This window comes from Homo sapiens, chromosome 8 (assembly GCF_000001405.40).
Source record: "Homo sapiens chromosome 8, GRCh38.p14 Primary Assembly".
Taxonomy (NCBI): domain Eukaryota; kingdom Metazoa; phylum Chordata; class Mammalia; order Primates; family Hominidae; genus Homo; species Homo sapiens.
This window is the reverse complement of record NC_000008.11, coordinates 54,548,062-54,562,611: the sequence shown is the minus strand read 5'-3', so window position 1 is coordinate 54,562,611 and position 14,550 is coordinate 54,548,062. Positions and strand designations below refer to the sequence as shown.

The 14,550-nt window shown below is 41.5% G+C and overlaps 1 protein-coding gene across 7 annotated transcripts in view; it reads right to left on the bottom strand.

Moving 5' to 3' along the window:
- Nucleotides 1–3,427, bottom strand: part of RP1 (RP1 axonemal microtubule associated) — a 312,050-nt gene extending 308,623 nt beyond the window's left edge. For 6 of the 7 annotated variants that reach the window (XM_047422069.1, XM_047422070.1, XM_047422071.1 and 3 more), the window contains exons 1-2: nucleotides 3,292–3,427; nucleotides 2,126–2,319 (exon numbers count right to left, since the gene is read on the bottom strand). In XM_047422069.1, coding sequence (XP_047278025.1) covers nucleotides 2,126–2,134 — 9 coding nt within the window. In that variant the 5' untranslated portion in view covers nucleotides 2,135–2,319; nucleotides 3,292–3,427. The remainder of the gene's footprint in view (nucleotides 1–2,125; nucleotides 2,320–3,291) is intronic. The other variant, NM_001375654.1, reaches the window with a different exon arrangement.

The window sequence follows — 14,550 nt, the reverse complement described above, 5'->3', positions numbered from 1 at the left end:
ACCTCTGCCTCCCGGGTTCAATCGATTCTTCTGCTTCGGCCTCCTGAGTAGCTGGGATTACAGGTGCCTGCCACCACACCCTGCTAATTTTTGTATTTTTAGTAGCAACAGGGTTTCATCCTGTTGGCCAGGCTGACCTTAGGTGATCCACCCACCTCAGCTCCCCAAAGTGCTGGGATTACAGGCGTGAGCCACCACACCCAGCCTACTTAAAATATTTCTTTTAACTTATTCTACAGACTGGTTTATATACCAAATGTTATTACAGCCTCAGGCATGCGTTCTCTGAAATGTTAAATAGCTTCAGATGTGAATCATGCAATTTAATAAAAGCAATAATTGATCAGTCTTTCCTTTTTTAATGAAAAATGTTGCTCCCATATTCATATTCACTAGTTTTACATGTGAGCATAGCTATGACATGAAATTTTAAATTCGGAGTTTTTATCATTTGAGTAATAGCAAAGCTGCTGAGTTTTTAAAGGTTGATTCACTTTAAATTACTTAATTTTAACTGTCAGGATCTCATATTTCTCTAGACAAGTTTGAGGACCATCCATTCATTTGACAGTCAATTTCATATACCTTCTGTAGCTAAGGTACTTTGTTGTGATAAGTGGCATTTATGTTAATGTCCCTGAAATACTACAAAAATTTGAAATACCTTCTCAAGGAAAAGCAAAATTATTTTCATTTCTGTTTTACTATATTTCCATTGATTATTGTTATTGTATGCAGGATATCACAGTATTAATTCATATATTATCAGGATATATAATTAATTGAAATACAATATTCACCAATCATGTATAGAAAGCAGTCTATCCATAGAATGTTCCAGCAATAATGCTTGTTATTGATCTTTTTCTGTTAGATAATGATTCAAATTCTTCTTTAAGTGAGTCAACCTAGTGTAAAAGAATCCAACGGCAAAAGTTTGCACATTTCTGCCAGTTAATCATCTGAAAAGCCACATCTCACTTTTTTACAAGCTGACCATCTGTGATGTTCACTTTCTCTATGACTTGGCCAGTTAAGTCATGCCTGCCAAACTTCTCTAGTATTTCCTTGTACTGAAGGAATCCTTCAACCATGGTAATGCCCAGGTCTTGATTGTGTATACAAGTTTCTAAGGGTGCTGTTTTTGCTCTGTTATGTTGCTATTAAATGGTTCTAAGATACTAAGTAAAATAAATATAAACAGAAACTAAACACCTATTGCTGTGGAGTCGATGACAAGTAATTTAAACAACCACTTTGTTTACTCGGAATCTGAGTTTAAAATTTAAAACGTGTAAACTCTGGCCAAAAAGAAGAAGGAAAATGATTTCATGGTATATTTTTGTGGAAGTATTATGCCATTAATTTTGAATTTACCAAATGAAGTAAAGAGGTTTACTAGGGATTTAGTTAAGAAGCTCTAATAGTAGAAGCTTTTGATGGACTTGCTTTTTCAGTGTATAGGGTCAGACTGAGAGATACCCTTCTGAGGAACCAATCTCCCAGGGTGGCTCATCCAGTGGCCACCCCCCCAGTATATCCCCCACTTCCACCCATTTACACTGTGTGGTCTTTCCCCATCGGCTGTGGTCTCCCTAGCATCCAGATCCTGTGTCACACCCCCTGAGCCTGCAAAGTGGCACCTGTCTCCAATGCCGAGGGGAGTGAGAGAACATGCCCCCTGCCTGCACCCCCAACATGGAGGCTCCAGTCCAGGCCCCACCTAAAGCCATTGGATGCTATTGACATAGAGATGGCCCTAAATGTGCTGCAGGCCATGTGGGTCTCCTGCTTGGATGACAAGCTCTAGGCCTGTCAGACCTAGAGCAAATAAGATCTGTTTCTACGTTGAGTGCTCACAATGTGCTAAGCACTGTGTGTTGTGGCCTTACACAGCCACAGCATTATTCCCAACCTACAGATATAGAAACAGAAACTTAGGTGAGAGAAGGTGCACGGGATGAACCCGTGCAGCAGGTGTTCTGAACCACTGCGCAACGCTTGCCTCCCTCGCAGAAACCTTAGGGACCTGTGACCTGCTTCTCACTTATAAACCGGTGACGTCATGTTGGAGAGTGTGGAAGAGCAGATAGAGCACTAAGTGAGTTACCAGGGGGCTTCTCACCTGCACCATCGGCACCTACACTAAGACTTAGGGCCTGCCTCCACATCCGCATCCATACATGAGAAAGGAGGACTCAGCGGGCCCCAATGCTCCTTCCAGCTCCAGCTTTCTAGCAGCGGGCGTGTGAATGTCTGCACAGCAGTCAGAACAACTCGTACCTTAACTGAAATGAAAACAAACTTCCACTTGACCTGCTGAGAAAAAAGTGATAGCTGACATTCAGAGTGCGTTCACTTAGAATATCTCACCCAACTTCCCCATCCCCAAAACTCCTGGGGGATGGAGGTCCCAACCCTCACATCAAGAGGAATTCCGAGGCACTTGGCTGCAGTCACTCCCCCAGGAGGAGCTGGGTTCAAACGCAGACCCACCCCAGCCTCCACAGCCCAAGCTCCTGCCATGATGCCCTGAAGCTTCTCCTCTCGAGCTACATTCTGCCGGCTGCAAATATGTTTGTGGCTTAACAGTTACTAATTCAACATGAAAAATTACAGTCTCAACAATATGAAAAATTAATATCATCCAAGTTAGAAACCACAGAGTCATATTAAACTTCTCCTTCTCCCAGTTGGGGACTGAGTCCCTAAATATGTCCCCACCCCATCTCATCTTGTCCATACTCTTTTTACATTCTTTGCTGTGGCCTTTCTCAGTCTCTAATAGTCATCCTTTATCATACTGTCTCCATAGCCTCCTAACTGGTCTTTGTGCCTCCAGCCAGTCCTGCCCGAACGTGACCCACTCTCCTCCGGAAAACCTAAGACGGATCATGCTGTTGTTCTGTTCATCACCCTCCAGGGGTTTCCCCAGGCCTTAAAGATCAAATCACAAGTCGTATACATGGCCCACGTGTACAGGCCGTGAGGATATCTGTCCAAACTCCCTCTCAAAACTACAATACCTTACAAATATCTGCAAAAATGCCTCACAGGAAAAATGGTTCACTCACCATCCCCACAGCAACCAAGACACAGTTATTTAGCTCAGGCCTTCCACTGCTTGCTTTACCATCTTTGGCATATTTTCCATACCATTAAGCAACCTTTCACATTTAAATAAAAGTTAAACATCTCCTCCCTTTTAAAAAGCCTAATTATAAAAACTTAAATGTTCGTTATCATTCCCTATAAAACAGGCAAGGAGAAAAGAAAACACATATATTTTACCTGTAATTTCCAAAATGTTTGTAGAAACTCCTCAGTTGCTTCTAGAATATCTTAATGAAGAGAGCTGGAGCGTGGAAGAGTCGGAGTGAAGAGGCTGAAGTCTGGTGAGCCTGTTGCTCAGATGCTGCCTACGAGTGAACCCTCCTCTAATTGTGCTGGACCTAGGAACTGCAATGTTTGCCGTGTCACCTGGATTATTAGTAGCGACTGCAAACACTTCACAGAACTCCCAAACCACACACTGGCAAAGAACAGAACTAGCCTGGGGTCATGAGTGTTGGTATGCCTCTCATTCTGTGAAGACCTGCACACAAGTTAAATAGCAAACAAAATAACCTACTTTGTTCTCGTTATCATTTGATTTTTTGTGGCATATAATGAGGCATGGAAACATAGGAGCTTTTCACGTTATTTTGAAGTTCACCAGTTTTAATATTTGTCTGGAGAAGTATGTGTTTGTTTAGTTCAACACCATGAAGTGGAGGTCATGTCCCCATAACTAGCAGATTGGTTCAGTTCAACAAACATTTGCTCAGTGCCTGCTCTCTTTAGAATATGAACCTGAAACAAAGAAACAAAACAAAAAATGACTTCCAAGAATTCACAAGTCAGTTATCTTTTGTACAGTGACAACCATCAGTAAGCATGTATTCTTTCTACTTTTTATTCATTATTTCAACAACCACACAAACACTTATTTAGGCCAAGCACAGCTGGTCACTGGGCACTGCGCAGTGCAGGCCGCCCAGGGAGACAGGGGCCTGGGAGGGTGATACATGTATCAAATCACTCAATGTCCTCATGGCCTTAATTTTGGTCACCAGGACCCCGGGTAAAGGTCTCAAATTAAAAAAAACAAAAAAACAGTTTTATTGAGGCATAATGGATATATAGTAAGTCCTCACTTAATATTGTTGATAATTTCTTGGAAACTGCAACTTCAAGCAAAGCAACGTATAACAAAACCAATTTTCCCATAAGTTGATGGATATAAACAAGAGTCAAGTTCCTACAGCATATATTTGGTCATAAAAACATCACCAAACTTCTAAATAAACACTACAACACTCCTAATATTAGCCATTGAAATAAATGTGAAATATACACTTGAGAAAGATTAATAAAAACAAGTAACATATTTATCCAATTTTTGATAAATCAGCAAGTCACAGTGGTCGTAATGGCAGTGGGTTAAATCAAGGAATAAATGTTTGCAAAGCGAAAATTGTCAGGAGCACCTCCTCCCACCTCGCAGTTTGAAAACCATTACAAATACAACAGGCTCCCAAAACACTTCTTTGTTTATTGTCGTGCATTTGTATGATTATCACAGATCTTACGAATTTTTTTTCCAATCAACTTGTATTCATTCATTCATTTTCCAACCTGTAACTTTTATTCATTCACTCGTTTTCCAACCCATAACTTTCCTTCATTCATTCATTCATTCATTCATTCATTTTCCAACCTGCTTGTACCAGTTCAGGGTCGCAGGTGGCTGAGCATATCCAGCAGCTCAGGGCACAAGGCAGGACCCACGCTTGCACAGGATACCATCCTATGGCAGGGCACACTCACACACCCACACTCATGCACTGGGACCATGTAGACATGCAAGTTCACCTAATGTGCACAGCTTTGGGTTGTGAGAGGAAACCGGAGGACCCAGAGAAAACCCCCACAGATACGGGGGGAACATGCAGATTCCACACAGACAGTGGCCCTGGCTGAGAATACATTATTTTTTCCTCATCAACATTATAACGAAACAACATTATTAGAGGATCTGCTGTATAAGGAACCGTAAATATTTATAATTTGATGATGTCATATGCATACACCCATAAACTATTGCCACAATCAAGGTAATAGACATACCCAACACCTCCCAAAGTCTCCTGTGTGTCTTTGCTGTTTTGTTTGTTTTCATGGTAAGAACACTTAACATGAGATCTACCTTCTTAATAAATTTTAGAGTACAAAATTCCATATTGTTAACTATAGCCACTGTGTCACACAGCAGATCTCTAGAACATACTCATGTTGCATAATTGAAACTTGATACACTTTGAACAACATCTCCCCATTTCCCCTCCTCTCATCACCTGGCAATCACCATTCTGCTCTCAGCTTCTATGAGTTTGACTACTTTAGAAGCCCTCACATAAGTGGAATCATGCAGTATTCTTCCCTCTGTGTCTGGTTTATTTCGCTTAATGTAATGTTCTCCAGGTTCATCCATGTTATTGCAAGAGCATGATTTCCTTCTTTTTAAAGGCTGAATAGTAGTCATGTATTTTATAGATAGATAGATAGATAGATAGATAGATAGATAGATAGATAGATAGACAGATAGACAGATCACATTTTCTTTATCCATTCGTCCATTTATGGACACTTAGGTTGTTTTCACTTCCTGGCTATTGTGAATAATGTTGCTATGAACATGAGAGTACAGATATTTCTTCAAGACCCTAATTTCAATTCCTTTGGGTATATGCTGTGTAATAGGCTTGCTAGTTCTGTTTTTAATTTTTAATTTTTGTGGGTACAGAGGTGTATATATTTATAGGATACACGAGATGTTTTGTATTTTTAATTCTTTGAGGAATCTCTGCACTGTTTTCCATAGCTGCTGCACCATTTCACATTCCCACCAACAATATACAAGGATTCCAGTTTCCCCACATCTCCACCAACACTTGCTGTCTTCTGTTTTTTTAAAACAGCCATCCCAGCATGTGTGAAATGACATCTCATTTTGGTTTCGATCTGCATTTCTTTGAGGGTCAGTGATGTTGAGCATCTTACAATGTACCTGTTGCCCATCTGTATGTCTTCTTTAAGAAATGTCTGTTTGAATCCTTTTTTAAATCAGGATATTTGGTTTTAGGCAATCAAATTGTGATCTCTTGGTTTTAATGTTTAGAGCAGAATGCAATCTGTTTGGCTTTCTCCTCAATGCAGAAAATATCTTCTTTGTGAAGCGGAACACACAAAAAGTAAATTTCCTTCAAATCTGATCTTAGAACGTCAACTATAGAGAACAAGAAGTTCTCGAAGAACCCCTGCCTTTTGAAACACCTACTGTTTCTTGACAAGTCAAGCAGCAGGGGGCAGGATGGTGCAGTGGGAAAATATATGGCTGACCATCTGGAAATCTGAGTCTGATCCCATTCCAGCTGGAAGTCTTTTCACCTCCCTTGGCTACGGTTAACTTATCTGCAAAGTAAGGAGCTGGGTGGGTTGGATGGGCTTTCCTGCATCTAGCATTTTCTTTCACTCAGTATTTTTGTGTACCCTTCAGGTCAGGAGCTTGAGACTAGCCTGGCCAACATGGTGAAACCCCATCTCTACTAAAAATATACAAAAATTAGCCGGGCATAGTGGCACGCACCTGTAACACCAGCTACTCGGGAGGCTGAGGCAGGAGAATTGCTACCTAGGAAATGGAGGTTGCAGTGAGCCAAGATCACACCACTGCCCTCTAGCCTGGGCAACAGAGTGAGACTCCATCTCAAAAAAAATTATATATATATATATGTATGTATATATTTGTGTGTGTGTACCTGCTATGTGCCAGATACTGTGTTAGGCGCTTAAAAAAGCAAAACTCACTAACCTGTTTAAGCCTACTGAAAGAACTTGAAATAACTACCAAAAATAAATATGATAATTCTGTTCTAAGAGTTAACCTCAGTATGAGGTGCCAACAGCTAGCGAATGAATGAATATGCTAGCCGGGACTACAGTGAAGTTTCAGTATCTCTAAAGCCACTTCAGTCTCAAATATGATCAAAGGTTACCCAAGTGTCTGGATTTAACATTGGGTAGCAGAAGGTTGAGCAGCAAGATTTATATATATATATATATATTTTTATATATTAATATATATTTATATATATAAATATATATATAATATATATAAATATATAAATATATATAAATATATATATTAATATATATAAATATATATATTAATATATATAAATATATATATAAATATATATATAAATATATATAAAAATAATATATATAAATATATATATATATATATAATTTTTTTTTTTGAGACGGAGTCTCGCTCTGTCGCCCAGGCTGGAGTCCAGTGGCGCGATCTCGGCTCACTTCAAGCTCAGCCTCCCGGGTTCACGCCATTCTCCTGCCTCAGCCTCCCGAGTAGCTGGGACTACAGGTGACCGCCACCACGCCCGGCTAACTTTTTTGTATTTTTAGTAGAGACGAGGTTTCACCATGTTCGCCAGGATGGTCTCGATCTCCTGACCTCGTGATCCGCCCGCCTCGGCCTCCCAAAGTGCTGGGATTACAGGCGTGAGCCACCGTGCCCGGACAAGATTAATATATTTTAACTACTCCAGCTTCATTTCGAACCTTCCCAGACACAGCCCCAACTCAAAGCCACAAACATAGTACTATCAAAAGTATTTATCCTTTCTCCCTACAACTTATGCAACTGCAATTTTTCCACTTTGTTTTGGTGGCCCCGTTTTGCTCCCAGGTTTCCCAACCAAGTAAGCTTTGAGTCACATTCAACTTCTCTCTCCCCTTTCCTTCCTGAATTTAATAAGCCACCAACAAATCTGCGGAGACCCACTCCAACAAGAAGCCCTCCCTCCCTCGGCAACCACAGTGCAGACCTCTATTGTTACAGCTCCCTGTCTCCCGGGGAATTCCAGCCGCAGGCGTTCCTTGGGGCCCCCGTGGAAAACTGGAAAGGAACTGTTGAAGCCTTTCACTGCCTGTTTTCCTGAATCCCATGGCCAGGGAGTCGGGGAGAAAGGGAGGGAACCCACAGCAACTGCTTTTTACCAGTTCAGTGCCGCCGAGAACCGGGGCTTTCCCATAGGGCCGGGCCAGGTTCTAGGCAGAGAAGCGTCTGCATTCCGAGGCGCAGTCTGGGCTGGAGCCTGTCACCACCCTTCAAATCCCTTTGAAGCTGGGCAAAAATCTTGCCAACGCCAAGCTTCAGAGCTCCTCCGCTTAACCTGGGAGGGGCTGTTTCCTGCCTGCATTTCACAGCCTCTCACAGGAGGGAGGTGCAGTCATAATCATTTTACAGGATTCTCACTGTAGACATCAAAATCTAAAAACACGAGAAACATAAGTTTTACACAAAATACCATGTCAGATGGACCAAGACCTATTTAATGCTGAAAAATTATTCTACTAACTCAGAGACCTATTATCATAATATATACATACAAGCACACATATATACATATGTATACACATATACATATACATATAAACTATTTAGAGACACTTCTTCCTTAAAGTCATATTAAACATTCTCAGTTTCCTAAATAATTTCAGAAACTTCCCCACCTTCACTGTCCTTCTCTGAACACAGTCTAGGTTGTTAATTTCTCTTAAAATATGATTCCCAGGAGGAAATGCAGGATCCCTGATGGAGCCTTACAGGTGAGTTTTTTGTCCCCACATTGCAGGGTTTTCACATATCGACCTGCGATAAAATACTTACTTCTTTTTCACATGCACTGCTCCCAAGTCAGAGTCTTCTGTTCTGGACGAAGGGAATTGGGTTTGAAAGTTTTTTTTGTATTTTTGTTTTTTAGGAGAGTCAGAGAACATTAGAATGAAAGAGTCCGTAGAAATTGCTGGTACATATTTTCAAGTCATGGGTTATATAGCTCATTCATGGGCCATGAAATCAATTTAAGTAGGTCACTGTTATGAGCCAAATGCTTGTGTCCCCCAACTTCCAAATTCACATACTGAGGTCGTAATCCCCCGACATGATGGCATTAAGACATGGGGTCTTTGGGAGGTGATTGGGTCATGAGGGTAGAACCCTCATGAATGGTGTTAGTGCCCATATGAAAGAGACCCCAGAGAGCTCCCTTGCCTCTTCCACCATGGGAGGACTCAGTGAGAAAGTGCTATATTTCAACCAGGAAGCAGACCCTCACTAGACACTGTATCTTCTGGTGCCTTGATCTTGGATTTCCCAACCTCTGGAGCTGTGAGAAATAAATGTTTGTTGTTTAAGCCACCCCAGTCTATGGTATGTTTATTATAGCAGCCTGAACGGACTAAGACGGTCACCCCCAGCTTTCTTTAAAAACTGAATAAGATGCAGTAGAAAGTATCAGAGTACATTGCACATATGAAAGACAAGTATTATCAATAAAACTTATGTTTCAGATTTAGATACACAAGTATGTGTGTGTATAGATTATAACCATAATTGAGTTTTGGTCAAAAAACTTAAATGCCACTGATCCAGTTCAATCAGGAAATGGCAGTGTTCTATAATGGATAAGCATTTGTTTGAAATTTAGAGTCAGAAAATCCCTGGTTTATGGTCTTGGATCTCGCCTTTAAGAACTGCGTGACCGCAGCAATTTATTTTGCTTCATTGAAACTCAGATCAGTTCCTCATCAATAAAATCAGGTATCAACGGCACTTTCCTCAAAGAGTTATTGAGGAGAAACACGTTATTACTCACTTCCTTTTACTGAGCACATGCGATGTGCCAAGAAACATGGTGTCTTCAAACGCACTATACTTCTGACCTTCACTACAACAACCCTGTGTATTGTTATCCATCAAATGAAGGAACCGAGGCAGTCTGGTCCAGATGTATGTACTTAACCATTCCACTACACCAGCTCAAAGTACATCATGTCTCTACAAATACAAAGATGCATTTGAAGTACTTAACACAATCAGTACTAAGTACTTAGTACGGACACAGGGGAGCCTTCAAATTTTAGCACCATTCTCAGGGCAGATCCTCTGCAAGTTGAGGAATTCAAGCCAGAAGGTAGATTGATGCCCTGCTTCCTTCGGGAAAGTTTTGCTTATTCGGCTGTACTAAAAAATGTGATGAAGTTTGTCATAATGTCCATTGAAACTCTAACCAGAGCTCCATATCTTGTTGAGGCCAAGCAACAAGCAGTTTGCCAGCTCACTGTCCATGAACCATACTCTGCGGAGCGCTGTGTGAGATGACATTGTAATAACCATCACAGGCACCATGATTATTGTTAGTATGGTTTGGGACAGATTCAGGTCTCCTCTTTCACCATCCAAATCTGTTTTTACTACTCCATCGAAGACACACCTATGCATGTGCTCCCGCTCACTTTCACCTGGTCAGTTTCATCCTGCTGAAAGTTTTTAGAATCTTTACGATATCATCCAAATGCACCAACTATCCCTTCTGGCTTTATGTCACCTGCACACCTGCTGAGCGTGTCTTCTGTGCCTTCATGGAGACGCTGATAGCAGTGTTCATCAAGAGAAAGCCAAGATCAGGTCTGCTTCCTTTAGGACAATCCTGTGGCTCCCCTCAGTGGCTGCTCACCTCGTCCTTATTGTGTTTGCCTCTCTTTCCTAAACCCTCACAAACCCAGACATTGACTTTTCACAGGGGGAAATGGAGAGGAAGCACTAGGAAATGACCCGCTTTGAAGGCTCCATCTTGTGGCGCATGAGCATCAGTGCAGCTCGGGACTGCAGAGGGAAGAGGCGAGCTCTGGGAGGACCGCACTCATGCAGAGGCACTGAGGGAGCATTGGCAGAGCTACCTTGATCTGGAAGGCGAGTCTTTTTTTTTTTCCATAATGTTTCCAGGTAAAATCAGACTGGCTTTATTCACTTTGTTCATCACTGCGAATAAATAAAACACTACACCTGCTTCATTAATGGTCCAGAAAAAAAACATTTTTTAAATGAGCTACATGGGTAAAGAGAATTTTTAAAAGATTTTCTCCACCATTCATCATTCTAAATTTGAAATAAAAATTCCCTATTCTTCCAGTAATAATCTGGAAATTATCTTTAAGAATTCCTTCACTTTAAATGGGCAGCTAAAATGGAGGCAATGCTGGGCCGGCAAGGCAGCTTCCTCATCATCTTAAAGGACCGATACCGATGTCCTGTCACTCAGGCCTGCTTCTCCCACACCGGGATCTCACCTCCTTCAGGTGGGGCTATGTTGCCTTCTGCAGCTATGTAGATTTTTATTCCTTCTGGGATGCAAGACAGCTAGAGCCAAGGAGACATTTCTAGCACACAACCAGGCACAAGTTTTCAATGTGAGTTTAAATAGTCATGACTTAAAACTCTGAGTTGCAGTGCAGGAATCAGGCGTGCAGATGTAGGGCTTGTTGGTGTTGAGGAAGGGAAAGGAGAAAGTTGAAAGATGATGAAAATAAGGCAAGTGGGAAGCAGTAGTCACTCAGGATACTAACTTAGAACTCATGATCAGAAAGGGCAAGTGTAAGAAAAACAGTAGCGTTATTTATTTGGTCAACACACATGCATCAGTGACAGGTTCTAAGAATCAAGAAAACAGTGAGGCCTGAATCCTGCCCAGCAGTGTGCTGTGGGGAGGGAGACAGATTTGGAAATAAGTGTCCTTAACACCCTTCTTGTGCAGTCTCTGAAAGAAGAGCAGGTGGAGGTGAGGTCTGGCAAGACTTCCCTGGGGTTGCTTCCTCTCAGGACAGAGGTCATTTTCTGTCAATTCTCTTTACTATCAATTTATAAACTCCAAAATTGTAGCATCTCAATCCTCCAATGCCTCTGAAATTTTGATTTATGATTTTAATTTTTTCTTAACCTTGAAACAACCTTAGAGCTGATTTAATAGAGCACCTTAATTGTACAGATCAGAAAAACATTGGCAGATAAGATGGAGTGTCTTCATACACAGCCTCTCTACTTGTTACATCGCTGGCTATGACACTCATGTCCAGGCTCATCTCGGGGTGAGACTGCTTTGAGGGCCAGAGTAATACAGAATTAAGGGTGGCAAACAACAGTTTATGGGTGAAAGACAGGCTGCTTCCTCCAATAGGAGGTCTACTCTTTACTGGAGGAAAATAATTAAAGTTAAAAAAAAAAAAGTATAGTCAGTATGTTAGTAATTAGCGAAATACCAAGAAATTTAATCCCCTATACTTAAACGTCACATTCAAATAAACTAAGGCTATAATATAAACTCCCTGGATATATATCAAAATACCTTGCCTTCTTGCTGTCATGTAGACAATAACCATTGTATTTACAACTCATAAAGTGGGAAAGAAGATAAGAAAAATATCACTAAATTCTGTATTTTTAATTCAAGTTACTAAGGAGGGTGGAGTTTGAATTGGCCTTGACCTGAATCTCTCTCTTTTAAAGAAACAGAGGGAGACACTTTGCATTTTGGTCATGAACAGAATTCGCATCACATAAAACTTGTGCTCAGTCCTCTCCCAGCTGATCCAGGCATCAGAGGGAGTGGATCAGGGGATGGGGAGGGACTCCCCCACCCAGAAACAAGCAAGTAGAATTGTAGGTCACGTTTTGTTGACATTGTGCTTGACCAATGGAAATCCCTAGGTTCCAGCAATGAGACTCACAACAATGTGCAGGAGCTGTTGCCATGTGATCAACAGGGATTTCAGACTTGGCCTGAAAACTGGGGTTTTAATGCCCAGGGGAGGACAGGAGATGAAGGAAGAAGGGAATTGGAACCGAGTCACTGTCCGAATGTGTTAAGGGCTAGCCAAACTGAAACGTAAACTTCTAGTCTACAGGTGCTTTGTATTAAAAAGAAAAATAATTACTTGCAAGAAATCAAAACCTCAGAATACACCATGTAGAGATGTGAGTTATAATGCCTACAGGTACCTGAGAATTAAACAGAAAGATTGAGCCAGGGCAGTAGAATCCTGAAACCCTGGCAGAAGCAAACAAAAAACTTCCCTTAGTGCACAACCCAGGATGTATAGATCACCATAGAAGGCATAGCTCTTACTGACAATAAATCAGAATTCAAAATTACATAGTCAAAACTACACATGCAAGCACCATCAAAACTGCATGAGGAACCATCGTGACACAGAGATGGGCAAGAATTAACACAGGTAGAATTAGTGCTCAAGAGGCCAGGCGCGGTGGCTCACGCCTGTAATCCCAGCACTTTGGGAGGCCGAGGCGGGGGGATCACGAGGTCAGGAGATCGAGACCATCCTGGCGAACATGGTGAAACCCTGTCTCTACTAAAAATACAAAAAAAATTAGCCGGGCTTGGTGGCGGGCGCCTGTAGTCCCAGCTACTCGGGAGACTGAGGCAGGAGAATGGCGTGAACCCGGGAGGCGGAGCTTACAGTGAGCGGAGATCCTGCCACTGCACTCCAGCCTGGGTGACAGAGCGAGACTCCGTCTCAAAAAAATAAATAAATAAATAAATAAATAAATAAATAAATAAATAAATAAAAAAGAATTAGTGCTCAAGAGTGAGAGGAGGCTGGGAGCGGTGGCTCACGCCTGTAATCCCAGCACTTTGGGAGGCCGAGGCGGGCGGATCACTTGAGGTCAGGAGTTTAAGACCAGCCTGGCCAACATGGTGAAACCCCATCTCTACTAAAAATACAAAAATTAGCCAGGTGTGATGGCGGGCAGCTGTAATCCCAGCTATTTGGGAGGCTGAGGCAGGAGAATCATTTGAACCTGGGAAGGGGAGGTTACACAGAGCCCAGATCACGCCACTGCATTCCAGCCTATGTGAGACAGGGAGACTCCATCAAAAAAAAAAAAGAAAAGAAAAAAAGAAATGAGAGGAAATAGAAAAATCTGAAAGCCACCATTAAAAAGATAGTTTAAGCTTATTTTACAGGTAAAAGAAAAAATATAAACAATAATAAAATACAAGACAGTATTTTAAAGCTTGAGGATATTTGGGGAAGAAAAACGTGAAACACAGAAATTAAAAAAAAGATTTGGCCAGGCGCGGTGACTCACGCCTGTAATCCCAAAACTTTGGGAGGCTGAGGCAGGCAGATCACGAGGTCAGGAAATCAAGACTATCCTGGCTAACACGATGAAACCCCGTCTCTACTAAAAATACAAAAATTAGACAGGCGCAGTGGCAGTTGTCTGTAATCCCAGCTACTCGGGAGGCTGAGGCAGGAGAATTTGAACCCAGGGGGCGGACGTTGCAATGACCCAAGATCAAGCCACTGCACTCCATCCTGGGTGACAGAGCAAGACTCTGTCTCAAAACAAAACAAAATAAAACCAAAACCGGATTCATTGGATTTCCAGATTCATTGTGGAGGTATAGAGGGCTGGAAAGAGTGTCACACACACCCTTACAACAAGAAAAATGCTGGACAATAACAAATGAATAATTTATTTTATTTTATTATTTATTCTTTATTTTTAACTTTTAAGTTCAGGGGTATATGTGCAGGTTTGTTACATAGGTAAATATGTGT